Source organism: Homo sapiens, chromosome 19, assembly GCF_000001405.40.
Source record: "Homo sapiens chromosome 19, GRCh38.p14 Primary Assembly".
Classification (NCBI taxonomy): Eukaryota; Metazoa; Chordata; class Mammalia; order Primates; family Hominidae; genus Homo; species Homo sapiens.
This window is the reverse complement of record NC_000019.10, coordinates 47911286-47936372: the sequence shown is the minus strand read 5'-3', so window position 1 is coordinate 47936372 and position 25087 is coordinate 47911286. Positions and strand designations below refer to the sequence as shown.

At 45.9% G+C, this 25087-nt stretch overlaps 5 non-coding genes across 5 annotated transcripts; all 5 read right to left on the bottom strand.

Annotated features, from left to right (window-relative positions):
• Positions 1-2070: 2070 nt before the first annotated feature.
• Positions 2071-2192, bottom strand: SNAR-A2 (small NF90 (ILF3) associated RNA A2). Its single transcript, NR_004436.1, has one exon. It is a non-coding gene; the product is annotated as a small NF90 (ILF3) associated RNA A2 (small nuclear RNA).
• Positions 2193-7435: 5243 nt separating this feature from the next.
• SNAR-C2 (small NF90 (ILF3) associated RNA C2) lies at positions 7436-7555 on the bottom strand. Its single transcript, NR_024217.1, has one exon. It is a non-coding gene; the product is annotated as a small NF90 (ILF3) associated RNA C2 (small nuclear RNA).
• A 4918-nt stretch (positions 7556-12473) lies between these two features.
• SNAR-A3 (small NF90 (ILF3) associated RNA A3) lies at positions 12474-12594 on the bottom strand. The gene has a single exon (NR_024214.1). It is a non-coding gene; the product is annotated as a small NF90 (ILF3) associated RNA A3 (small nuclear RNA).
• Positions 12595-17822: 5228 nt separating this feature from the next.
• On the bottom strand, positions 17823-17944 carry SNAR-A1 (small NF90 (ILF3) associated RNA A1). Its single transcript, NR_004435.1, has one exon. It is a non-coding gene; the product is annotated as a small NF90 (ILF3) associated RNA A1 (small nuclear RNA).
• Positions 17945-23202: 5258 nt separating this feature from the next.
• On the bottom strand, positions 23203-23322 carry SNAR-C5 (small NF90 (ILF3) associated RNA C5). Its single transcript, NR_024219.1, has one exon. It is a non-coding gene; the product is annotated as a small NF90 (ILF3) associated RNA C5 (small nuclear RNA).
• Positions 23323-25087: the final 1765 nt, after the last annotated feature.

The window sequence follows — 25087 nt, the reverse complement described above, 5'->3', positions numbered from 1 at the left end:
TGTTTCCTTTCCTCTTGGTTCATTTCTTCTGGTGTGTGTGTGCGCGCGCCCGCGTGCATGTGTGTACTCGGGTCTCATTTTCTGCTTTCTTCCTGCAGTACCTCGTTTATGGGAGATGCACTTCGCTTTTCTTATTTTTTTAGTAGAGAGGGGGTTTCACTGGTTTAGCCAGAACAGTCTCGATCTCCTGACCTCGTGATCCGCCCACCTCGGGCTCCCAAAGTGCTGGGATTCCAGGAGTGAGCCGCCGCGCCCGGCCGTCCACTTTGCTTCTTGCAGAGGCTGATGGTTTGAGTAATTTTCGAGATTCATAGCTCGAGCGCGCCCTGTTCTGTCTATGCAGTGAAGGGCAGCTTTTTGCATCCGCGGCTTTTTGTTGGCAAGGAGGAATGTGCAGTGGCCAGATTTGTTTCTTCCCCTTTTGTTGCTGTTGTTGTTGTTGCTGCTGCTGTTATTGTTGTTGTTGTTGTATTTTATTGTGTAGCATCCTAAAGTGTCCCCTCCTTCTATTTCTTATCCTTATCCAGGTAGGGTGTAGAAAAGCTAACTTAAGGGGCAGGGGAGAGAGAGAAAGAGAGGAAGAGAAAATGAGAATGAATGACAATACATGAACCCATGGGTCAACCTTTATTTCAAGGCAGCCCAAAAGGACGGCTCTCCCTTCTCTTTCACTCTCTTCTCTAGGTGTGAAGCTGATGCAGCACAGGCGAGCCCCAAAATTGAGGCTTAGCCCGGGGGGGTTCTTGGCTTCTCCTAGAAACTAATTCAAGAAGCCGGGCGCACTGGCTCACGCCTGTAATCCCAGCACTTTGGGAGGCTGAGGCGGATGGATCACTTGAGGTAAGGAGTTCGAGACCAGCCTGGCCAACATGGTGAAACCCCATCTCTACTAAATATACAAAAATTACCCGGGCATGGGGACGGGTGCCTGTAATCCCAGCTGTTCAGGAGGCTGAGGCAGGGGAATCGCTTGAACCCGGGAGGCGGAGGTTGCAGTGAACAGAGATCGTGTCACTGCACTCCAGCCTGGGTGATAGAGTGCGACTCCGTCTGAAAAAGAAAAAAAAAAAAAAAAGAATTCAAGGGCACGCCGGTGGTTTTAGACGGCAACCTTTACCGAAGCCTCAGTGCACAGCCACAGCAGAGGGACACACACCTGTATCTTTTCTAAGACTGGGAGAATTTTACAATTGCTTGACTAATTGAACAGTGCCTCGAGGATGTTACACTAGGTTATAAATAAATTCCTGCCGTGTTTAGCTGAGGCACGAACACAATGCCCACTGACAATTCCACTTTCCTCGAGGGCCATTCTTTATGAAAGGCTGTAGGAGTTCCACGACATTGTTGATTCCTGGATTCTCCAAGTCTCTAGAACTTGAGAACTACTTTTGTGTATTTTTTTAACCTTTAAGTTCAGAGTTTCTAATGTCCGTTTTATACTACTATAAAATGGTACTATGTATTCTTTATTTATGGTACTATTTACACTTTATTTTATACAGACTCTGGCTCCACAAAAATGTTAAAAATTAGCCAGGTGCAGTGGTGCACATCTGCGGCCCCAGCTACTCAGGAGGCTGAGGCAGAAGGATTGCTTGAGCTCGGATGGTCAGGGCTGCAATGAGCTATGATCACACATCACATCAATGCACTCCAGCCTGGGCAACACAGTGAGACCCTGTCTCTAAAAGAATAGAAGAGGCTGGGCGCGGTGGCTCACGCCTGTCATCCTACCACTTTGGGAGACCAAGGCGAGTGGATCATTTGAGGCCAGGTGTTCAAGACCAGCCTGGTCAACATGGCGAAACCCCATCTCTTGGCAGGCGACTGTAATCCCAGCTACTCAGGAGGCTTAGATAGGAGACTCCCTTGAACCGACGAGGCGGAGGTTGCAGTGAGCGAAGATCACACCACTGCACTCCAGCCTGGGCAACAGGGCAAGGCTCGGTCTCCCAAAAAAAAAAAAAAAAAAGACACATGGAAGTAATTTAAAAACACTTAGGAAGATGTCATTTCTTCCTATCAAGGCGTCCTCCCTTTATGTTTTGTCGTTATATTGGGAACGATAAAAAAAAGTCCTTTTTTCCGACCCATGTGGACCAGGCTGGCCTCGAACTCGTGCCCTGGAACCCCCGCCTCCGTGAGGGCCCGAGGGCAGGCGCAACCGGCCTGAGCCACAATGGCTCCGGGTGTCGGGGCTGTCCTTTAGTCCCTTTGATCTTACGCAGGGTGAGGGAGCCAATCACCAGAGGCTCCCCCCTGTCGTCACCCAGTCCCCAGGGCCAGTGAGGGCCCTGCGTTCCATGGCGCCCCCTGGAGGGAGGAAGGGGAACTGTATCTGAGAGTTCAGTATCTGACAATAAGGAAAAGGCATAGGAGATCAGATGGTGCCTAGTGTTCTGGAGAGAAGAAACAACGGGGTTGGGGAATGCGGAGTTGCAGTTTATAATACAGGCCTCATGTATAAGGCAGACCTCATGGGGAAGGTAACATCTGTGCAGAGAAATGGAGATGAGGGCTAGGAGCCATGCAAATACTGGAACATGCTTGCCAGCAGAAGTCGAGAAACATGGCTGGCGCAGTGGCCCACACCTGTAATCCCAGGACTTTGGGAGGCCGAGGCAGGTAGATCACGAGGTCAGCAGTTCGAGACCAGCCTGGCCAACATGGTGAAACCCTGTCTCTACTAAAAATACAAAAATTAGCTGGGTGTGGTGGCACACGCCTGTAATCCCAGCCACTTGGGAGGGTGAGGTAGGAGAATCGCTTGAACCTGGGAGGTAGAGGTTGCAGTGATGCAGTGAGCCGAGACCACGCCATTGTACTCTAGCCTGGGCGACAGAGCGAGCCTCCATCTCAAAAAAAAAAAAAAAAAAAAAAAGCAAAAACAAACAGGCGAGATTCATTTGGATAAAATAGCTGATTTAACCTAATATACCTAAAACATCATAATTTTAACATAATCAATAGAAACATTTTTGCAAGATTTTATGTTATTTTTTACCATACGACGTCTTGGAAATGTTGGTTTGGACCAGCCATGTTCAACTGCTCAGTAGCCATGTGTGGCCAGAGGCGGCCGTATTGGACAGTGCAGATGGTGCATGAGGGTGTTCGGGCAGTGGGAACAGCCAGTACAGAGGCCCAGTGGGGGCACATGCCTGCTGCTACGGGAACAGTGAGGAGCCCCGTGTGGCTGCAGTGGAGTGAGAGGGAGAAGGTGGGAGATGTAACCAACAGTCTCATCATTCATTCATTAAATCCTTTTTTTTCTTTTTTTGAGACTGAGTTTCGCTCTTGTTGCCCAGGCTGGAGTGCAATGGTGCCATCTCGGCTCACCACAACCTCCACCTCTTGAGTTCAAGCGATTCTCCTGCCTCAGCCTTCCGAGTAGCTGGGATTACAGGCATGCGCCACCATGCCCGGCTAATTTTGTATTTTTAGTAGAGCTGGGGTTTCTCCCTGTTGGTCAGGCTGGTCTCGAACTCCCGACCTCAGGTGATCTGCCCGCCTTGACCTCCCAAAGTGCTGTGATTACAGGCTTGAGCCACTGCTCCCAGTCCATTGAATGTGTGTATATATAGTTGAATAAAGAAGACACCGGAGTTTGTTCTGTATCTTCTCCTTTCAAATTCTGTGCCATTTGAATTTTTTCCTATTCCTTTTATATATTTTTAATTGACAAATTGTACATATTTATCATGTACATATTGTTTTGAAATATGTATATACCGTAGAATGGCTAAATCAAGATCATTAACATATGTATTACTTTACCTATTTTCCTTTTTTCGTTGTGTCTCTGCCAGGTTTCGGTATCAGAATGACTCTGACCTCATAGAATGAGTTAGAGAGCAGTTGCTCCTCCTCAATTGTGTGGAATAATTTCAGTAGGATTGGTGCCGGCTTTTCTTTACACATCTGGTAGGATTCGACTGTGAATCCGTCTAGTCTAAGGTTTTTTGTGCTGGTTGGTAGGTTTTGTATGACTAACTCAATTTTGGAACTCATCGTTGGTTTGTTCAGGGTTTCCATTTCTTCCTGGTTCAATCTTGAGAGGTTTTATGTTTCCAGGAATTTCTCTATTTCTTCTAGTTTTCTAGTTTGTGTGCATAGAGGCATGTGGAATAGTCTCAGGGTTTCTTGTATATCTGTGGGTCAGTGGTAATGTCACCTTTGTCATTTCTGATTGTGTTTATTTGGATCTTGTCTTTTTTTCTTTATTAATCTAGCTAGTGGTCTTCCCATGTTATTTATGCTTTCAAAAATATCAACCTTGTATGAATTAACAGCATTTGCCGTGACCTGGATGAGACCGGAGACTGTTATTCTAACTGAAGTAACTCAGGAATGGAAAACCAAACATCGTATGTTCTCACTGATATGTGGGAGCTAAGCTATGAGGACGCAAAGGCGTAAGAATGATACAATGGACTTTGGGGACTTAGGGGGACGAGTTGGCGGGGGCGAGGGATAAAATACAACAAGTAGGGTGTAGTGTATACTGCTCAGGTGATGGGTGCACCAAAATCACAAATCACCACTAAAGAGCTTATGTAACCACACACCACCTGTACCCCAATAATTTATGGAATAAATAATAAATAAATAATTTTTTTAAAAAATCAACTTTGGGTTTCATTGATCTTTTGTATGGTTTTTTACGTCTCCATTTCATTCAGGTCAGCTCCGATGTTGGTTTTCTTTTTTTCTTCTGCTAGCTTTGGGGTTGATTTGCTCTTGTTTTTCTAATTCCTCTAGGTGTGATGTTAGGCGGTTCATTTGAGATCTTTCTAGCTTCTTAGTGTAGCCATATAGCACTAGAAACTTCCTTTGAGCACTGTTCTAGCTGTGTCCCAGAGATTCTGGGATGTTGTATGTTTGTTTTCATTAGTTTCAAATAATTTTTTTATTTCTGCCTTAAATTCAGTCTTTACCCAAAAGTCATTTGGAAGCAGGTTGTTTAATTTCCATGATGACTCTAGGCCGGGCATGGTGGCTCATGCCTGTAATCCCAGCCACTTGGGAGGCTGAGGCAGGAGAATCGCTTGAATCCAGGAGGCAGAGGTTTCAGTGAGCCAAGATCACGCCACTGCACTCCAGCCTGGGCGACAGAGTGAGGCTGCGTCTCAAAAAAAAAAAAAAAAAAAAATTGCCCCTTCTTAAGTTTGCATTTAGATCTCTTCTCCTTTGACCACTTTTAATTTATCTTCACTTCTGATATGACATTTAATTTTTCATTCATTTTCTGTCTATTATTGTTCCTTTTTTAACTTAAAAAAAAATTCTGTGCTTTATGAATTTCTGTTTCAAGGTGTTTTTCCCATCTCCAAATGCTTATTTGAAAATGTTTCCTTTCCTCTTGGTTCATTTCTTCTGGTGTGTGTGTGCGCGCGCCCGCGTGCATGTGTGTACTCGGGTCTCATTTTCTGCTTTCTTCCTGCAGTACCTCGTTTATGGGAGATGCACTTCGCTTTTCTTATTTTTTTAGTAGAGAGGGGGTTTCACTGGTTTAGCCAGAACAGTCTCGATCTCCTGACCTCGTGATCCGCCCACCTCGGGCTCCCAAAGTGCTGGGATTCCAGGAGTGAGCCGCCGCGCCCGGCCGTCCACTTTGCTTCTTGCAGAGGCTGATGGTTTGAGTAATTTTCGAGATTCATAGCTCGAGCGCGCCCTCTTCTGTCTATGCAGTGAAGGGCAGCTTTTTGCATCCGCGGCTTTTTGTTGGCAAGGAGGAATGTGCAGTGGCCAGATTTGTTTCTTCCCCTTTTGTTGCTGTTGTTGTTGTTGCTGCTGCTGTTATTGTTGTTGTTGTTGTATTTTATTGTGTAGCATCCTAAAGTGTCCCCTCCTTCTATTTCTTATCCTTATCCAGGTAGGGTGTAGAAAAGCTAACTTAAGGGGCAGGGGAGAGAGAGAAAGAGAGGAAGAGAAAATGAGAATGAATGACAATACATGAACCCATGGGTCAACCTTTATTTCAAGGCAGCCCAAAAGGACGGCTCTCCCTTCTCTTTCACTCTCTTCTCTAGGTGTGAAGCTGATGCAGCACAGGCGAGCCCCAAAATTGAGGCTTAGCCCGGGGGGGTTCTTGGCTTCTCCTAGAAACTAATTCAAGAAGCCGGGCGCACTGGCTCACGCCTGTAATCCCAGCACTTTGGGAGGCTGAGGCGGATGGATCACTTGAGGTAAGGAGTTCGAGACCAGCCTGGCCAACATGGTGAAACCCCATCTCTACTAAATATACAAAAATTACCCGGGCATGGGGACGGGTGCCTGTAATCCCAGCTGTTCAGGAGGCTGAGGCAGGGGAATCGCTTGAACCCGGGAGGCGGAGGTTGCAGTGAACAGAGATCGTGTCACTGCACTCCAGCCTGGGTGATAGAGTGAGGCTGCGAATCAAAAAAACAAAACAAAACAAAACAAAACAAAACAATTCAAGGGCAGGCCGGTGGTTTTAGACGGCAACTTTTACTGAAGCGTCAGTGCACAGCCACAGCAGAGGGACACACACCTGTATCTTTTCTAAGACTGGGAGAATTTTACAATTGCTTGACTAATTGAACAGTGCCTCGAGGATGTTACACTAGGTTATAAATAAATTCCTGCCGTGTTTAGCTGAGGCACGAACACAATGCCCACTGACAATTCCACTTTCCTCGAGGGCCATTCTTTATGAAAGGCTGTAGGAGTTCCACGACATTGTTGATTCCTGGATTCTCCAAGTCTCTAGAACTTGAGAACTACTTTTGTGTATTTTTTTAAACTTTAAGTCCAGAGTTTCTAATGTCCGTTTTATACTACTATAAAATGGTACTATGTATTCTTTATTTATGGTACTATTTACACTTTATTTTATACAGACTCTGGCTCCACAAAAAATGTTAAAAATTAGCCAGGTGCAGTGGTGCACATCTGCGGCCCCAGCTACTCAGGAGGCTGAGGCAGAAGGATTGCTTGAGCTCGGATGGTCAGGGCTGCAATGAGCTATGATCACACATCACATCAATGCACTCCAGCCTGGGCAACAGAGTGAGACGCTGTCTCTAAAAGAATAGAAGAGGCTGGGCGCGGTGGCTCACGCCTGTCATCCTACCACTTTGGGAGACCAAGGCGAGTGGATCATTTGAGGCCAGGTGTTCAAGACCAGCCTGGTCAACATGGCGAAACCCCATCTCTTGGCAGGCGACTGTAATCCCAGCTACTCAGGAGGCTGAGATAGGAGACTCCCTTGAACCGACGAGGCAGAGGTTGCAGTGAGCCAAGATCACACCACTGCACTCCAGCCTGGGCAACAGAGCAAGCCTCGGTCTCCCAAAAAAAAAAAAAAAAAGAAAGATACATTGAAGTAATTTAAAAACACTTAGGAAGATGTCATTTCTTCCTATCAAGGCGTCCTCCCTTTATGTTTTGTCGTTATATTGGGAACGATAAAAAAAATTTTTTTTTCAACCCATGTGGACCAGGTTGGCCTCGAACTCGAGCCCTCGAACCCTCGCCTCTCTGAGGGTCCGAGGGCCCGCGCAACCGGCCGGAGCCACAATAGCTCCGGGTGTCGGGGCTGACCTTTAGGCCCTTTGATCTTACGCACGGTGAGGGAGCCAATCACCAGAGGCTCACCCCTGACGTCACCCAGTCCCCAGGGCCAGTGAGGGCCCTGCGTTCCATGGCGCCCCCTGGAGGGAGGAAGGGGAACTGTATCTGAGAGTTCAGTATCTGACAATAAGGAAAAGGCATAGGAGATCAGATGGTGCCTAGTGTTCTGGAGAGAAGAAACAACGGGGTTGGCGAATTGGCAGTTGCACTTTATAATACAGGCCTCATGTATAAGGCAGACCTCATGGGGAAGATAACATCTGTGCAGAGAAATGGAGATGAGGGCTAGGAGCCATGCAAATACTGGAACATGCTTGCCAGCAGAAGTCGAGAAACATGGCCGGCGCAGTGGCCCACACCTGTAATCCCAGGACTTTGGGAGGCCGAGGCAGGTAGATCACGAGGTCAGCAGTTCGAGACCAGCCTGGCCAACATGGTGAAACCCTGTCTCTACAAAAATACAAAAATTAGCTGGGTGTGGTGGCACACGCCTGTAATCCCAGCCACTTGGGAGGGTGAGGTAGGAGAATCGCTTGAACCTGGGAGGTAGAGGTTGCAGTGATGCAGTGAGCTGAGACCACGCCATTGTACTCTAGCCTGGGCGACAGAGCGAGACTCCATCTCAAAAAAAAAAAAAAAAAGCAAAAACAAACAGGCGAGATTCATTTTGATAAAATAGCTGATTTAACCTAATATACCTAAAACATCATAATTTTAACATAATCAATAGAAACATTTTTGCAAAATTTTATGTTGTTTTTTTTACCACACGACGTCTTGGAAATCTTGGTTTGGACCAGCCATGTTCAACTGCTCAGTAGCCATGTGTGGCCAGAGGCGGCCGTATTGGACAGTGCAGATGGTGCATGAGGGTGTTCGGGCAGTGGGAACAGCCAGTACAGAGGCCCTGTGGGGGCACATGCCTGCTTCTACGGGAACAGTGAGGAGCCCCGTGTGGCTGCAGTGGAGTGAGAGGGAGAAGGTGGGAGATGTCACCAACGGTCTCATCATTCATTCATTAAATCCTTTTTCTTTTTTTTTTTTTTTTTTTGAGACTGAGTTTCGCTCTTGTTGCCCAGGCTGGAGTGCAATGGTGCCATCTCGGCTCACCACAACCTCCACCTCTTGAGTTCAAGCGATTCTCCTGCCTCACCCTCCCGAGTAGCTGGGATTACAGGCATGCGTCACCATGCCCGGCTAATTTTGTATTTTTAGTAGAGCTGGGGTTTCTCTCTGTTGGTCAGGCTGGTCTCGAACTCCCGACCTCAGGTGATCTGCCCGCCTTGACCTCCCAAAGTGCTGTGATTACAGGCTTGAGCCACTGCTCCCGGTCCATTGAACGTGTGTATATATAGTTGAATAATAAGACACTGGAGTTTGTTCTGTATCTTCTCCTTTCAAATTCTACGCCATTTGAATTTTTTCCTCTTCCTTTTATATATTTTTAATTGACAAATTGTACATATTTATCATGTACATATTGTTTTGAAATATGTATATACCGTAGAATGGCTAAATCAAGATCATTAACATATGTATTACTTTACCTATTTTCCTTTTTTCGTTGTGTCTCTGCCAGGTTTCGGTATCAGAATGACTCTGACCTCATAGAATGAGTTAGAGAGCAGTTGCTCCTCCTCAATTGTGTGGAATAATTTCAGTAGGATTGGTGCCGGCTTTTCTTTACACATCTGGTAGAATTCGACTGTGAATCCGTCTAGTCTAAGGTTTTTTGCGCTGGTTGGTAGGTCTTGTATGACTAACTCAATTTTGGAACTCATCGTTGGTTTGTTCAGGGTTTCCATTTCTTCCTGGTTCAATCTTGAGAGGTTTTATGTTTCCAGGAATTTATCTATTTCTTCTAGTTTTCTAGTTTTTGTGCATAGAGGCATGTGGAATAGTCTCAGGGTTTCTTGTATGTCTGTGGGTCAGTGGTAATGTCACCTCTGTCATTTCTGATTGTGTTTATTTGGATCTTGTCTTTTTTTCTTTATTAATCTAGCTAGTGGTCTTTCCATGTTATTTATGCTTCCAAAAATATCAACTTTGTATGAATTAACAGCATTTGCAGTGACCTGGATGAGACCGGAGAGTATTATTCTAAGTGAAGTAACTCAGGAATGGAAAACCAAACATCGTATGTTCTCACTGATATGTGGGACCTAAGCTATGAGGACACAAAGGCATAAGAATGATACAATGGACTTTGGGGACTTAGGGGGACGAGTTGGCGAGGGCGAGGGATAAAAGACAACAAATAGGGGGTAGTGTATACTGCTCAGGTGATGGGTGCACCAAAATCACAAATCACCACTAAAGAGCTTATGTAACCACATACCACCTGTACCCCAATAATTTATGGAATAAATAATAAATAATTTTTTTAAAAAATCAACTTTGGGTTTCATTGTTTAATTTCCATGATGACTCTAGGCCGGGCATGGTGGCTCATGCCTGTAATCCCAGCCACTTGGGAGGCTGAGGCAGGAGAATCGCTTGAATCCAGGAGGCAGAGGTTTCAGTGAGCCAAGATCACGCCACTGCACTCCAGCCCGGGCGACAGAGTGAGGCTGCGTCTCAAAAAAAAAAAAAAAAAATTGCCCCTTCTTAAGTTTGCATTTAGATCTCTTCTCCTTTGACCACTTTTAATTTATCTTCACTTCTGATATGACATTTTATTTTTTATTCATTTTCTGCCTGTTTATTATTGTTCCTCTTTTAACTTAAAAAAAAAAACATGTGTGTACTTTATGAATTTCTGTTTCAAGGTGTTTTTCCCATCTCCAAATGCTTACTTGAAAATATTTCCTTTCCTCTTGGTTCATTTCTTCTGGTGTGTGTGTGCGCACGCCCGCGTGCATGTGTGTACTCGGGTCTCATTTTCTGCTTTCTTCCTGCAGTACCTCGTTTATGGGAGATGCACTTCGCTTTTGTTATTTTTTTAGTAGAGAGGGGGTTTCACTGGTTTAGCCAGAACAGTCTCGATCTCCTGACCTCGTGATCCGCCCACCTCGGGCTCCCAAAGTGCTGGGATTCCAGGAGTGAGCCGCCGCGCCCGGCCGTCCACTTTGCTTCTTGCAGAGGCTGATGGCTTGAGTAATTTCCGAGATTCATAGCTCGAGCGCGCCCTGTTCTGTCTATGCAGTGAAGGGCAGCTTTTTGCATCCACGGCTTTTTGTTGCCAAGGAGGAATGTGCAGTGGCCAGATTTGTTTCTTCCCCTTTTGTTGCTGTTGTTGTTGTTGCTGCTGCTGTTATTGTTGTTGTTGTTGTATTTTATTTTGTAGCATCCTAAAGTGTCCCCTCCTTCTATTTCTTATCCTTATCCAGGTAGGGTGTAGAAAAGCTAACTTAAGGGGCAGGGGAGAGAGAGAAAGAGAGGAAGAGAAAATGAGAATGAATGACAATACATGAACCCATGGGTCAACCTTTATTTCAAGGCAGCCCAAAAGGACGGCTCTCCCTTCTCTTTCACTCTCTTCTCTAGGTGTGAAGCTGATGCAGCACAGGCGAGCCCCAAAATTGAGGCTTAGCTCGGGGGGGTTCTTGGCTTCTCCTAGAAACTAATTCAAGAAGCCGGGCGCACTGGCTCACGCCTGTAATCCCAGCACTTTGGGAGGCTGAGGCGGATGGATCACTTGAGGTAAGGAGTTCGAGACCAGCCTGGCCAACATGGTGAAACCCCATCTCTACTAAATATACAAAAATTACCCGGGCATGGGGACGGGTGCCTGTAATCCCAGCTGTTCAGGAGGCTGAGGCAGGGGAATCGCTTGAACCCGGGAGGCGGAGGTTGCAGTGAACAGAGATCGTGTCACTGCACTCCAGCCTGGGTGATAGAGTGCGACTCCGTCTGAAAAAGAAAAAAAAAAAAAAAAAGAATTCAAGGGCACGCCGGTGGTTTTAGACGGCAACCTTTACCGAAGCCTCAGTGCACAGCCACAGCAGAGGGACACACACCTGTATCTTTTCTAAGACTGGGAGAATTTTACAATTGCTTGACTAATTGAACAGTGCCTCGAGGATGTTACACTAGGTTATAAATAAATTCCTGCCGTGTTTAGCTGAGGCACGAACACAATGCCCACTGACAATTCCACTTTCCTCGAGGGCCATTCTTTATGAAAGGCTGTAGGAGTTCCACGACATTGTTGATTCCTGGATTCTCCAAGTCTCTAGAACTTGAGAACTACTTTTGTGTATTTTTTTAACCTTTAAGTTCTGAGTTTCTAATGTCCGTTTTATACTACTATAAAATGGTACTATGTATTCTTTATTTATGGTACTATTTACACTTTATTTTATACAGACTCTGGCTCCACAAAAATGTTAAAAATTAGCCAGGTGCAGTGGTGCACATCTGCGGCCCCAGCTACTCAGGAGGCTGAGGCAGAAGGATTGCTTGAGCTCGGATGGTCAGGGCTGCAATGAGCTATGATCACACATCACATCAATGCACTCCAGCCTGGGCAACAGAGTGAGACGCTGTCTCTAAAAGAATAGAAGAGGCTGGGCGCGGTGGCTCACGCCTGTCATCCTACCACTTTGGGAGACCAAGGCGAGTGGATCATTTGAGGCCAGGTGTTCAAGACCAGCCTGGTCAACATGGCGAAACCCCATCTCTTGGCAGGCGACTGTAATCCCAGCTACTCAGGAGGCTTAGATAGGAGACTCCCTTGAACCGACGAGGCGGAGGTTGCAGTGAGCGAAGATCACACCACTGCACTCCAGCCTGGGCAACAGAGCAAGGCTCGGTCTCCCAAAAAAAAAAAAAAAAAAAGACACATGGAAGTAATTTAAAAACACTTAGGAAGATGTCATTTCTTCCTATCAAGGCGTCCTCCCTTTACGTTTTGTCGTTATATTGGGAACGATAAAAAAAATCCTTTTTTCCGACCCATGTGGACCAGGCTGGCCTCGAACTCGTGCCCTGGAACCCCCGCCTCCGTGAGGGCCCGAGGGCAGGCGCAACCGGCCTGAGCCACAATGGCTCCGGGTGTCGGGGCTGTCCTTTAGTCCCTTTGATCTTACGCAGGGTGAGGGAGCCAATCACCAGAGGCTCCCCCCTGTCGTCACCCAGTCCCCAGGGCCAGTGAGGGCCCTGCGTTCCATGGCGCCCCCTGGAGGGAGGAAGGGGAACTGTATCTGAGAGTTCAGTATCTGACAATAAGGAAAAGGCATAGGAGATCAGATGGTGCCTAGTGTTCTGGAGAGAAGAAACAACGGGGTTGGGGAATGCGGAGTTGCACTTTATAATACAGGCCTCATGTATAAGGCAGACCTCATGGGGAAGGTAACATCTGTGCAGAGAAATGGAGATGAGGGCTAGGAGCCATGCAAATACTGGAACATGCTTGCCAGCAGAAGTCGAGAAACATGGCCGGCGCAGTGGCCCACACCTGTAATCCCAGGACTTTGGGAGGCCGAGGCAGGTAGATCACGAGGTCAGCAGTTCGAGACCAGCCTGGCCAACATGGTGAAACCCTGTCTCTACTAAAAATACAAAAATTAGCTGGGTGTGGTGGCACACGCCTGTAATCCCAGCCACTTGGGAGGGTGAGGTAGGAGAATCGCTTGAACCTGGGAGATAGAGGTTGCAGTGATGCAGTGAGCCGAGACCACGCCATTGTACTCTAGCCTGGGCGACAGAGCGAGCCTCCATCTCAAAAAAAAAAAAAAAAAAAAAAAGCAAAAACAAACAGGCGAGATTCATTTGGATAAAATAGCTGATTTAACCTAATATACCTAAAACATCATAATTTTAACATAATCAATAGAAACATTTTTGCAAGATTTTATGTTATTTTTTACCATACGACGTCTTGGAAATGTTGGTTTGGACCAGCCATGTTCAACTGCTCAGTAGCCATGTGTGGCCAGAGGCGGCCGTATTGGACAGTGCAGATGGTGCATGAGGGTGTTCGGGCAGTGGGAACAGCCAGTACAGAGGCCCAGTGGGGGCACATGCCTGCTGCTACGGGAACAGTGAGGAGCCCCGTGTGGCTGCAGTGGAGTGAGAGGGAGAAGGTGGGAGATGTAACCAACAGTCTCATCATTCATTCATTAAATCCTTTTTTTTCTTTTTTTGAGACTGAGTTTCGCTCTTGTTGCCCAGGCTGGAGTGCAATGGTGCCATCTCGGCTCACCACAACCTCCACCTCTTGAGTTCAAGCGATTCTCCTGCCTCAGCCTTCCGAGTAGCTGGGATTACAGGCATGCGCCACCATGCCCGGCTAATTTTGTATTTTTAGTAGAGCTGGGGTTTCTCCCTGTTGGTCAGGCTGGTCTCGAACTCCCGACCTCAGGTGATCTGCCCGCCTTGACCTCCCAAAGTGCTGTGATTACAGGCTTGAGCCACTGCTCCCAGTCCATTGAATGTGTGTATATATAGTTGAATAAAGAAGACACCGGAGTTTGTTCTGTATCTTCTCCTTTCAAATTCTGTGCCATTTGAATTTTTTCCTATTCCTTTTATATATTTTTAATTGACAAATTGTACATATTTATCATGTACATATTGTTTTGAAATATGTATATACCGTAGAATGGCTAAATCAAGATCATTAACATATGTATTACTTTACCTATTTTCCTTTTTTCGTTGTGTCTCTGCCAGGTTTCGGTATCAGAATGACTCTGACCTCATAGAATGAGTTAGAGAGCAGTTGCTCCTCCTCAATTGTGTGGAATAATTTCAGTAGGATTGGTGCCGGCTTTTCTTTACACATCTGGTAGGATTCGACTGTGAATCCGTCTAGTCTAAGGTTTTTTGTGCTGGTTGGTAGGTTTTGTATGACTAACTCAATTTTGGAACTCATCGTTGGTTTGTTCAGGGTTTCCATTTCTTCCTGGTTCAATCTTGAGAGGTTTTATGTTTCCAGGAATTTCTCTATTTCTTCTAGTTTTCTAGTTTGTGTGCATAGAGGCATGTGGAATAGTCTCAGGGTTTCTTGTATATCTGTGGGTCAGTGGTAATGTCACCTTTGTCATTTCTGATTGTGTTTATTTGGATCTTGTCTTTTTTTCTTTATTAATCTAGCTAGTGGTCTTCCCATGTTATTTATGCTTTCAAAAATATCAACTTTGTATGAATTAACAGCATTTGCCGTGACCTGGATGAGACCGGAGACTGTTATTCTAAGTGAAGTAACTCAGGAATGGAAAACCAAACATCGTATGTTCTCACTGATATGTGGGAGCTAAGCTATGAGGACGCAAAGGCGTAAGAATGATACAATGGACTTTGGGGACTTAGGGGGACGAGTTGGCGGGGGCGAGGGATAAAATACAACAAGTAGGGTGTAGTGTATACTGCCCAGGTGATGGGTGCACCAAAATCACAAATCATCACTAAAGAGCTTATGTAACCACACACCACCTGTACCCCAATAATTTATGGAATAAATAATAAATAAATAATTTTTTTAAAAAATCAACTTTGGGTTTCATTGATCTTTTGTATGGTTTTTTACGTCTCCATTTCATTCAGGTCAGCTCCGATGTTGGTTTTTTTTTTTCTTCTGCTAGCTTTGGGGTTGATTTGCTCTTGTTTTTCTAATTCCTCTAGGTGTGATGTTAGGCGGTTCATTTGAGATCTTTCTAGCTTCTTAGTGTAGCCATATAGCACTAGAAACTTCCTTTGAGCACTGTTCTAGCTGTGTCCCAGAGATTCTGGGATGTTGTATGTTTGTTTTCATTAGTTTCAAATAATTTTTTTATTTCTGCCTTAAATTCAGTCTTTACCCAAAAGTCATTTGGAAGCAGGTTGTTTAATTTCCATGATGACTCTAGGCCGGGCATGGTGGCTCATGCCTGTAATCCCAGCCACTTGGGAGGCTGAGGCAGGAGAATCGCTTGAATCCAGGAGGCAGAGGTTTCAGTGAGCCAAGATCACGCCACTGCACTCCAGCCCGGGCGACAGAGTGAGGCTGCGTCTCAAAAAAAAAAAAAAAAAAAATTGCCCCTTCTTAAGTTTGCATTTAGATCTCTTCTCCTTTGACCACTTTTAATTTATCTTCACTTCTGATATGACATTTAATTTTTCGTTCATTTTCTGTCTATTATTGTTCCTTTTTTAACTTAAAAAAAAATTCTGTGCTTTATGAATTTCTGTTTCAAGGTGTTTTTCCCATCTCCAAATGCTTATTTGAAAATGTTTCCTTTCCTCTTGGTTCATTTCTTCTGGTGTGTGTGTGCGCGCGCCCGCGTGCATGTGTGTACTCGGGTCTCATTTTCTGCTTTCTTCCTGCAGTACCTCGTTTATGGGAGATGCACTTCGCTTTTGTTATTTTTTTAGTAGAGAGGGGGTTTCACTGGTTTAGCCAGAACAGTCTCGATCTCCTGACCTCGTGATCCGCCCACCTCGGGCTCCCAAAGTGCTGGGATTCCAGGAGTGAGCCACCGCGCCCGGCCGTCCACTTTGCTTCTTGCAGAGGCTGATGGTTTGAGTAATTTCCGAGATTCATAGCTCGAGCGCGCCCTCTTCTGTCTATGCAGTGAAGGGCAGCTTTTTGCATCCGCGGCTTTTTGTTGGCAAGGAGGAATGTGCAGTGGCCAGATTTGTTTCTTCCCCTTTTGTTGCTGTTGTTGTTGTTGCTGCTGCTGTTATTGTTGTTGTTGTTGTATTTTATTTTGTAGCATCCTAAAGTGTCCCCTCCTTCTATTTCTTATCCTTATCCAGGTAGGGTTTAGAAAAGCTAACTTAAGGGGCAGGGGAGAGAGAGAAAGAGAGGAAGAGAAAATGAGAATGAATGACAATACATGAACCCATGGGTCAACCTTTATTTCAAGGCAGCCCAAAAGGACGGCTCTCCCTTCTCTTTCACTCTCTTCTCTAGGTGTGAAGCTGATGCAGCACAGGCGAGCCCCAAAATTGAGGCTTAGCCCGGGGGGGTTCTTGGCTTCTCCTAGAAACTAATTCAAGAAGCCGGGCGCAGTGGCTCACGCCTGTAATCCCAGCACTTTGGGAGGCTGAGGCGGATGGATCACTTGAGGTAAGGAGTTCGAGACTAGCCTGGCCAACATGCTGAAAACCCCATCTCTACTAAATATACAAAAATTACCCGGGCATGGGGACGGGTGCCTGTAATCCCAGCTGTTCAGGAGGCTGAGGCAGGGGAATCGCTTGAACCCGGGAGGCGGAGGTTGCAGTGAACAGAGATCGTGTCACTGCACTCCAGCCTGGGTGATAGAGTGCGACTCCGTCTGAAAAAGAAAAAAAAAAAAAAAAGAATTCAAGGGCACGCCGGTGGTTTTAGACGGCAACCTTTACCGAAGCCTCAGTGCACAGCCACAGCAGAGGGACACACACCTGTATCTTTTCTAAGACTGGGAGAATTTTACAATTGCTTGACTAATTGAACAGTGCCTCGAGGATGTTACACTAGGTTATAAATAAATTCCTGCCGTGTTTAGCTGAGGCACGAACACAATGCCCACTGACAATTCCACTTTCCTCGAGGGCCATTCTTTATGAAAGGCTGTAGGAGTTCCACGACATTGTTGATTCCTGGATTCTCCAAGTCTCTAGAACTTGAGAACTACTTTTGTGTATTTTTTTAACCTTTAAGTTCAGAGTTTCTAATGTCCGTTTTATACTACTATAAAATGGTACTATGTATTCTTTATTTATGGTACTATTTACACTTTATTTTATACAGACTCTGGCTCCACAAAAATGTTAAAAATTAGCCAGGTGCAGTGGTGCACATCTGCGGCCCCAGCTACTCAGGAGGCTGAGGCAGAAGGATTGCTTGAGCTCGGATGGTCAGGGCTGCAATGAGCTATGATCACACATCACATCAATGCACTCCAGCCTGGGCAACACAGTGAGACCCTGTCTCTAAAAGAATAGAAGAGGCTGGGCGCGGTGGCTCACGCCTGTCATCCTACCACTTTGGGAGACCAAGGCGAGTGGATCATTTGAGGCCAGGTGTTCAAGACCAGCCTGGTCAACATGGCGAAACCCCATCTCTTGGCAGGCGACTGTAATCCCAGCTACTCAGGAGGCTTAGATAGGAGACTCCCTTGAACCGACGAGGCGGAGTTTGCAGTGAGCGAAGATCACACCACTGCACTCCAGCCTGGGCAACAGAGCAAGGCTCGGTCTCCCAAAAAAAAAAAAAAAAAAGACACATGGAAGTAATTTAAAAACACTTAGGAAGATGTCATTTCTTCCTATCAAGGCGTCCTCCCTTTATGTTTTGTCGTTATATTGGGAACGATAAAAAAAAGTCCTTTTTTCCGACCCATGTGGACCAGGCTGGCCTCGAACTCGTGCCCTGGAACCCCCGCCTCCGTGAGGGCCCGAGGGCAGGCGCAACCGGCCTGAGCCACAATGGCTCCGGGTGTCGGGGCTGTCCTTTAGTCCCTTTGATCTTACGCAGGGTGAGGGAGCCAATCACCAGAGGCTCCCCCCTGTCGTCACCCAGTCCCCAGGGCCAGTGAGGGCCCTGCGTTCCATGGCGCCCCCTGGAGGGAGGAAGGGGAACTGTATCTGAGAGTTCAGTATCTGACAATAAGGAAAAGGCATAGGAGATCAGATGGTGCCTAGTGTTCTGGAGAGAAGAAACAACGGGGTTGGGGAATGCGGAGTTGCAGTTTATAATACAGGCCTCATGTATAAGGCAGACCTCATGGGGAAGGTAACATCTGTGCAGAGAAATGGAGATGAGGGCTAGGAGCCATGCAAATACTGGAACATGCTTGCCAGCAGAAGTCGAGAAACATGGCTGGCGCAGTGGCCCACACCTGTAATCCCAGGACTTTGGGAGGCCGAGGCAGGTAGATCACGAGGTCAGCAGTTCGAGACCAGCCTGGCCAACATGGTGAAACCCTGTCTCTACTAAAAATACAAAAATTAGCTGGGTGTGGTGGCACACGCCTGTAATCCCAGCCACTTGGGAGGGTGAGGTAGGAGAATCGCTTGAACCTGGGAGGTAGAGGTTGCAGTGATGCAGTGAGCCGAGACCACGCCATTGTACTCTAGCCTGGGCGACAGAGCGAGCCTCCATCTCAAAAAAAAAAAAAAAAAAAAAAAAGCAAAAACAAACAGGCGAGATTCATTTGGATAAAATAGCTGATTTAACCTAATATACCTAAAACATCATAATTTTAACATAATCAATAGAAACATTTTTGCAAGATTTTATGTTATTTTTTACCATACGACGTCTTGGAAATCTTGGTTTGGACCAGCCATGTTCAACTGCTCAGTAGCCATGTGTGGCCAGAGGCGGCCGTATTGGACAGTGCAGATGGTGCATGAGGGTGTTCGGGCAGTGGGAACAGCCAGTACAGAGGCCCAGTGGGGGCACATGCCTGCTGCTACGGGAACAGTGAGGAGCCCCGTGTGGCTGCAGTGGAGTGAGAGGGAGAAGGTGGGAGATGTAACCAACAGTCTCATCATTCATTCATTAAATCCTTTTTTTTCTTTTTTTGAGACTGAGTTTCGCTCTTGTTGCCCAGGCTGGAGTGCAATGGTGCCATCTCGGCTCACCACAACCTCCACCTCTTGAGTTCAAGCGATTCTCCTGCCTCAGCCTCCGAGTAGCTGGGATTACAGGCATGCGCCACCATGCCCGGCTAATTTTGTATTTTTAGTAGAGCTGGGGTTTCTCCCTGTTGGTCAGGCTGGTCTCGAACTCCCGACCTCAGGTGATCTGCCCGCCTTGACCTCCCAAAGTGCTGTGATTACAGGCTTGAGCCACTGCTCCCAGTCCATTGAATGTGTGTATATATAGTTGAATAAAGAAGACACCGGAGTTTGTTCTGTATCTTCTCCTTTCAAATTCTGTGCCATTTGAATTTTTTCCTATTCCTTTTATATATTTTTAATTGACAAATTGTACATATTTATCATGTACATATTGTTTTGAAATATGTATATACCGTAGAATGGCTAAATCAAGATCATTAACATATGTATTACTTTACCTATTTTCCTTTTTTCGTTGTGTCTCTGCCAGGTTTCGGTATCAGAATGACTCTGACCTCATAGAATGAGTTAGAGAGCAGTTGCTCCTCCTCAATTGTGTGGAATAATTTCAGTAGGATTGGTGCCGGCTTTTCTTTACACATCTGGTAGGATTCGACTGTGAATCCGTCTAGTCTAAGGTTTTTTGTGCTGGTTGGTAGGTTTTGTATGACTAACTCAATTTTGGAACTCATCGTTGGTTTGTTCAGGGTTTCCATTTCTTCCTGGTTCAATCTTGAGAGGTTTTATGTTTCCAGGAATTTCTCTATTTCTTCTAGTTTTCTAGTTTGTGTGCATAGAGGCATGTGGAATAGTCTCAGGGTTTCTTGTATATCTGTGGGTCAGTGGTAATGTCACCTTTGTCATTTCTGATTGTGTTTATTTGGATCTTGTCTTTTTTTCTTTATTAATCTAGCTAGTGGTCTTCCCATGTTATTTATGCTTTCAAAAATATCAACCTTGTATGAATTAACAGCATTTGCCGTGACCTGGATGAGACCGGAGACTGTTATTCTAACTGAAGTAACTCAGGAATGGAAAACCAAACATCGTATGTTCTCACTGATATGTGGGAGCTAAGCTATGAGGACGCAAAGGCGTAAGAATGATACAATGGACTTTGGGGACTTAGGGGGACGAGTTGGCGGGGGCGAGGGATAAAATACAACAAGTAGGGTGTAGTGTATACTGCTCAGGTGATGGGTGCACCAAAATCACAAATCACCACTAAAGAGCTTATGTAACCACACACCACCTGTACCCCAATAATTTATGGAATAAATAATAAATAAATAATTTTTTTAAAAAATCAACTTTGGGTTTCATTGATCTTTTGTATGGTTTTTTACGTCTCCATTTCATTCAGGTCAGCTCCGATGTTGGTTTTCTTTTTTTCTTCTGCTAGCTTTGGGGTTGATTTGCTCTTGTTTTTCTAATTCCTCTAGGTGTGATGTTAGGCGGTTCATTTGAGATCTTTCTAGCTTCTTAGTGTAGCCATATAGCACTAGAAACTTCCTTTGAGCACTGTTCTAGCTGTGTCCCAGAGATTCTGGGATGTTGTATGTTTGTTTTCATTAGTTTCAAATAATTTTTTTATTTCTGCCTTAAATTCAGTCTTTACCCAAAAGTCATTTGGAAGCAGGTTGTTTAATTTCCATGATGACTCTAGGCCGGGCATGGTGGCTCATGCCTGTAATCCCAGCCACTTGGGAGGCTGAGGCAGGAGAATCGCTTGAATCCAGGAGGCAGAGGTTTCAGTGAGCCAAGATCACGCCACTGCACTCCAGCCTGGGCGACAGAGTGAGGCTGCGTCTCAAAAAAAAAAAAAAAAAAAAATTGCCCCTTCTTAAGTTTGCATTTAGATCTCTTCTCCTTTGACCACTTTTAATTTATCTTCACTTCTGATATGACATTTAATTTTTCATTCATTTTCTGTCTATTATTGTTCCTTTTTTAACTTAAAAAAAAATTCTGTGCTTTATGAATTTCTGTTTCAAGGTGTTTTTCCCATCTCCAAATGCTTATTTGAAAATGTTTCCTTTCCTCTTGGTTCATTTCTTCTGGTGTGTGTGTGCGCGCGCCCGCGTGCATGTGTGTACTCGGGTCTCATTTTCTGCTTTCTTCCTGCAGTACCTCGTTTATGGGAGATGCACTTCGCTTTTCTTATTTTTTTAGTAGAGAGGGGGTTTCACTGGTTTAGCCAGAACAGTCTCGATCTCCTGACCTCGTGATCCGCCCACCTCGGGCTCCCAAAGTGCTGGGATTCCAGGAGTGAGCCGCCGCGCCCGGCCGTCCACTTTGCTTCTTGCAGAGGCTGATGGTTTGAGTAATTTTCGAGATTCATAGCTCGAGCGCGCCCTCTTCTGTCTATGCAGTGAAGGGCAGCTTTTTGCATCCGCGGCTTTTTGTTGGCAAGGAGGAATGTGCAGTGGCCAGATTTGTTTCTTCCCCTTTTGTTGCTGTTGTTGTTGTTGCTGCTGCTGTTATTGTTGTTGTTGTTGTATTTTATTTTGTAGCATCCTAAAGTGTCCCCTCCTTCTATTTCTTATCCTTATCCAGGTAGGGTGTAGAAAAGCTAACTTAAGGGGCAGGGGAGAGAGAGAAAGAGAGGAAGAGAAAATGAGAATGAATGACAATACATGAACCCATGGGTCAACCTTTATTTCAAGGCAGCCCAAAAGGACGGCTCTCCCTTCTCTTTCACTCTCTTCTCTAGGTGTGAAGCTGATGCAGCACAGGCGAGCCCCAAAATTGAGGCTTAGCCCGGGGGGGTTCTTGGCTTCTCCTAGAAACTAATTCAAGAAGCCGGGCGCACTGGCTCACGCCTGTAATCCCAGCACTTTGGGAGGCTGAGGCGGATGGATCACTTGAGGTAAGGAGTTCGAGACCAGCCTGGCCAACATGGTGAAACCCCATCTCTACTAAATATACAAAAATTACCCGGGCATGGGGACGGGTGCCTGTAATCCCAGCTGTTCAGGAGGCTGAGGCAGGGGAATCGCTTGAACCCGGGAGGCGGAGGTTGCAGTGAACAGAGATCGTGTCACTGCACTCCAGCCTGGGTGATAGAGTGAGGCTGCGAATCAAAAAAACAAAACAAAACAAAACAAAACAAAACAAAACAAAACAAAACAATTCAAGGGCAGGCCGGTGGTTTTAGACGGCAACTTTTACTGAAGCGTCAGTGCACAGCCACAGCAGAGGGACACACACCTGTATCTTTTCTAAGACTGGGAGAATTTTACAATTGCTTGACTAATTGAACAGTGCCTCGAGGATGTTACACTAGGTTATAAATAAATTCCTGCCGTGTTTAGCTGAGGCACGAACACAATGCCCACTGACAATTCCACTTTCCTCGAGGGCCATTCTTTATGAAAGGCTGTAGGAGTTCCACGACATTGTTGATTCCTGGATTCTCCAAGTCTCTAGAACTTGAGAACTACTTTTGTGTATTTTTTTAAACTTTAAGTCCAGAGTTTCTAATGTCCGTTTTATACTACTATAAAATGGTACTATGTATTCTTTATTTATGGTACTATTTACACTTTATTTTATACAGACTCTGGCTCCACAAAAAATGTTAAAAATTAGCCAGGTGCAGTGGTGCACATCTGCGGCCCCAGCTACTCAGGAGGCTGAGGCAGAAGGATTGCTTGAGCTCGGATGGTCAGGGCTGCAATGAGCTATGATCACACATCACATCAATGCACTCCAGCCTGGGCAACAGAGTGAGACGCTGTCTCTAAAAGAATAGAAGAGGCTGGGCGCGGTGGCTCACGCCTGTCATCCTACCACTTTGGGAGACCAAGGCGAGTGGATCATTTGAGGCCAGGTGTTCAAGACCAGCCTGGTCAACATGGCGAAACCCCATCTCTTGGCAGGCGACTGTAATCCCAGCTACTCAGGAGGCTGAGATAGGAGACTCCCTTGAACCGACGAGGCAGAGGTTGCAGTGAGCCAAGATCACACCACTGCACTCCAGCCTGGGCAACAGAGCAAGCCTCGGTCTCCCAAAAAAAAAAAAAAAAAGAAAGATACATTGAAGTAATTTAAAAACACTTAGGAAGATGTCATTTCTTCCTATCAAGGCGTCCTCCCTTTATGTTTTGTCGTTATATTGGGAACGATAAAAAAAATTTTTTTTTCAACCCATGTGGACCAGGTTGGCCTCGAACTCGAGCCCTCGAACCCTCGCCTCTCTGAGGGTCCGAGGGCCCGCGCAACCGGCCGGAGCCACAATAGCTCCGGGTGTCGGGGCTGACCTTTAGGCCCTTTGATCTTACGCAGGGTGAGGGAGCCAATCACCAGAGGCTCACCCCTGACGTCACCCAGTCCCCAGGGCCAGTGAGGGCCCTGCGTTCCATGGCGCCCCCTGGAGGGAGGAAGGGGAACTGTATCTGAGAGTTCAGTATCTGACAATAAGGAAAAGGCATAGGAGATCAGATGGTGCCTAGTGTTCTGGAGAGAAGAAACAACGGGGTTGGCGAATTGGCAGTTGCACTTTATAATACAGGCCTCATGTATAAGGCAGACCTCATGGGGAAGATAACATCTGTGCAGAGAAATGGAGATGAGGGCTAGGAGCCATGCAAATACTGGAACATGCTTGCCAGCAGAAGTCGAGAAACATGGCCGGCGCAGTGGCCCACACCTGTAATCCCAGGACTTTGGGAGGCCGAGGCAGGTAGATCACGAGGTCAGCAGTTCGAGACCAGCCTGGCCAACATGGTGAAACCCTGTCTCTACAAAAATACAAAAATTAGCTGGGTGTGGTGGCACACGCCTGTAATCCCAGCCACTTGGGAGGGTGAGGTAGGAGAATCGCTTGAACCTGGGAGGTAGAGGTTGCAGTGATGCAGTGAGCTGAGACCACGCCATTGTACTCTAGCCTGGGCGACAGAGCGAGACTCCATCTCAAAAAAAAAAAAAAAAAAGCAAAAACAAACAGGCGAGATTCATTTTGATAAAATAGCTGATTTAACCTAATATACCTAAAACATCATAATTTTAACATAATCAATAGAAACATTTTTGCAAAATTTTATGTTGTTTTTTTTACCACACGACGTCTTGGAAATCTTGGTTTGGACCAGCCATGTTCAACTGCTCAGTAGCCATGTGTGGCCAGAGGCGGCCGTATTGGACAGTGCAGATGGTGCATGAGGGTGTTCGGGCAGTGGGAACAGCCAGTACAGAGGCCCTGTGGGGGCACATGCCTGCTGCTACGGGAACAGTGAGGAGCCCCGTGTGGCTGCAGTGGAGTGAGAGGGAGAAGGTGGGAGATGTCACCAACGGTCTCATCATTCATTCATTAAATCCTTTTTCTTTTTTTTTTTTTTTTTTTTGAGACTGAGTTTCGCTCTTGTTGCCCAGGCTGGAGTGCAATGGTGCCATCTCGGCTCACCACAACCTCCACCTCTTGAGTTCAAGCGATTCTCCTGCCTCACCCTCCCGAGTAGCTGGGATTACAGGCATGCGTCACCATGCCCGGCTAATTTTGTATTTTTAGTAGAGCTGGGGTTTCTCTCTGTTGGTCAGGCTGGTCTCGAACTCCCGACCTCAGGTGATCTGCCCGCCTTGACCTCCCAAAGTGCTGTGATTACAGGCTTGAGCCACTGCTCCCGGTCCATTGAACGTGTGTATATATAGTTGAATAATAAGACACTGGAGTTTGTTCTGTATCTTCTCCTTTCAAATTCTACGCCATTTGAATTTTTTCCTCTTCCTTTTATATATTTTTAATTGACAAATTGTACATATTTATCATGTACATATTGTTTTGAAATATGTATATACCGTAGAATGGCTAAATCAAGATCATTAACATATGTATTACTTTACCTATTTTCCTTTTTTCGTTGTGTCTCTGCCAGGTTTCGGTATCAGAATGACTCTGACCTCATAGAATGAGTTAGAGAGCAGTTGCTCCTCCTCAATTGTGTGGAATAATTTCAGTAGGATTGGTGCCGGCTTTTCTTTACACATCTGGTAGAATTCGACTGTGAATCCGTCT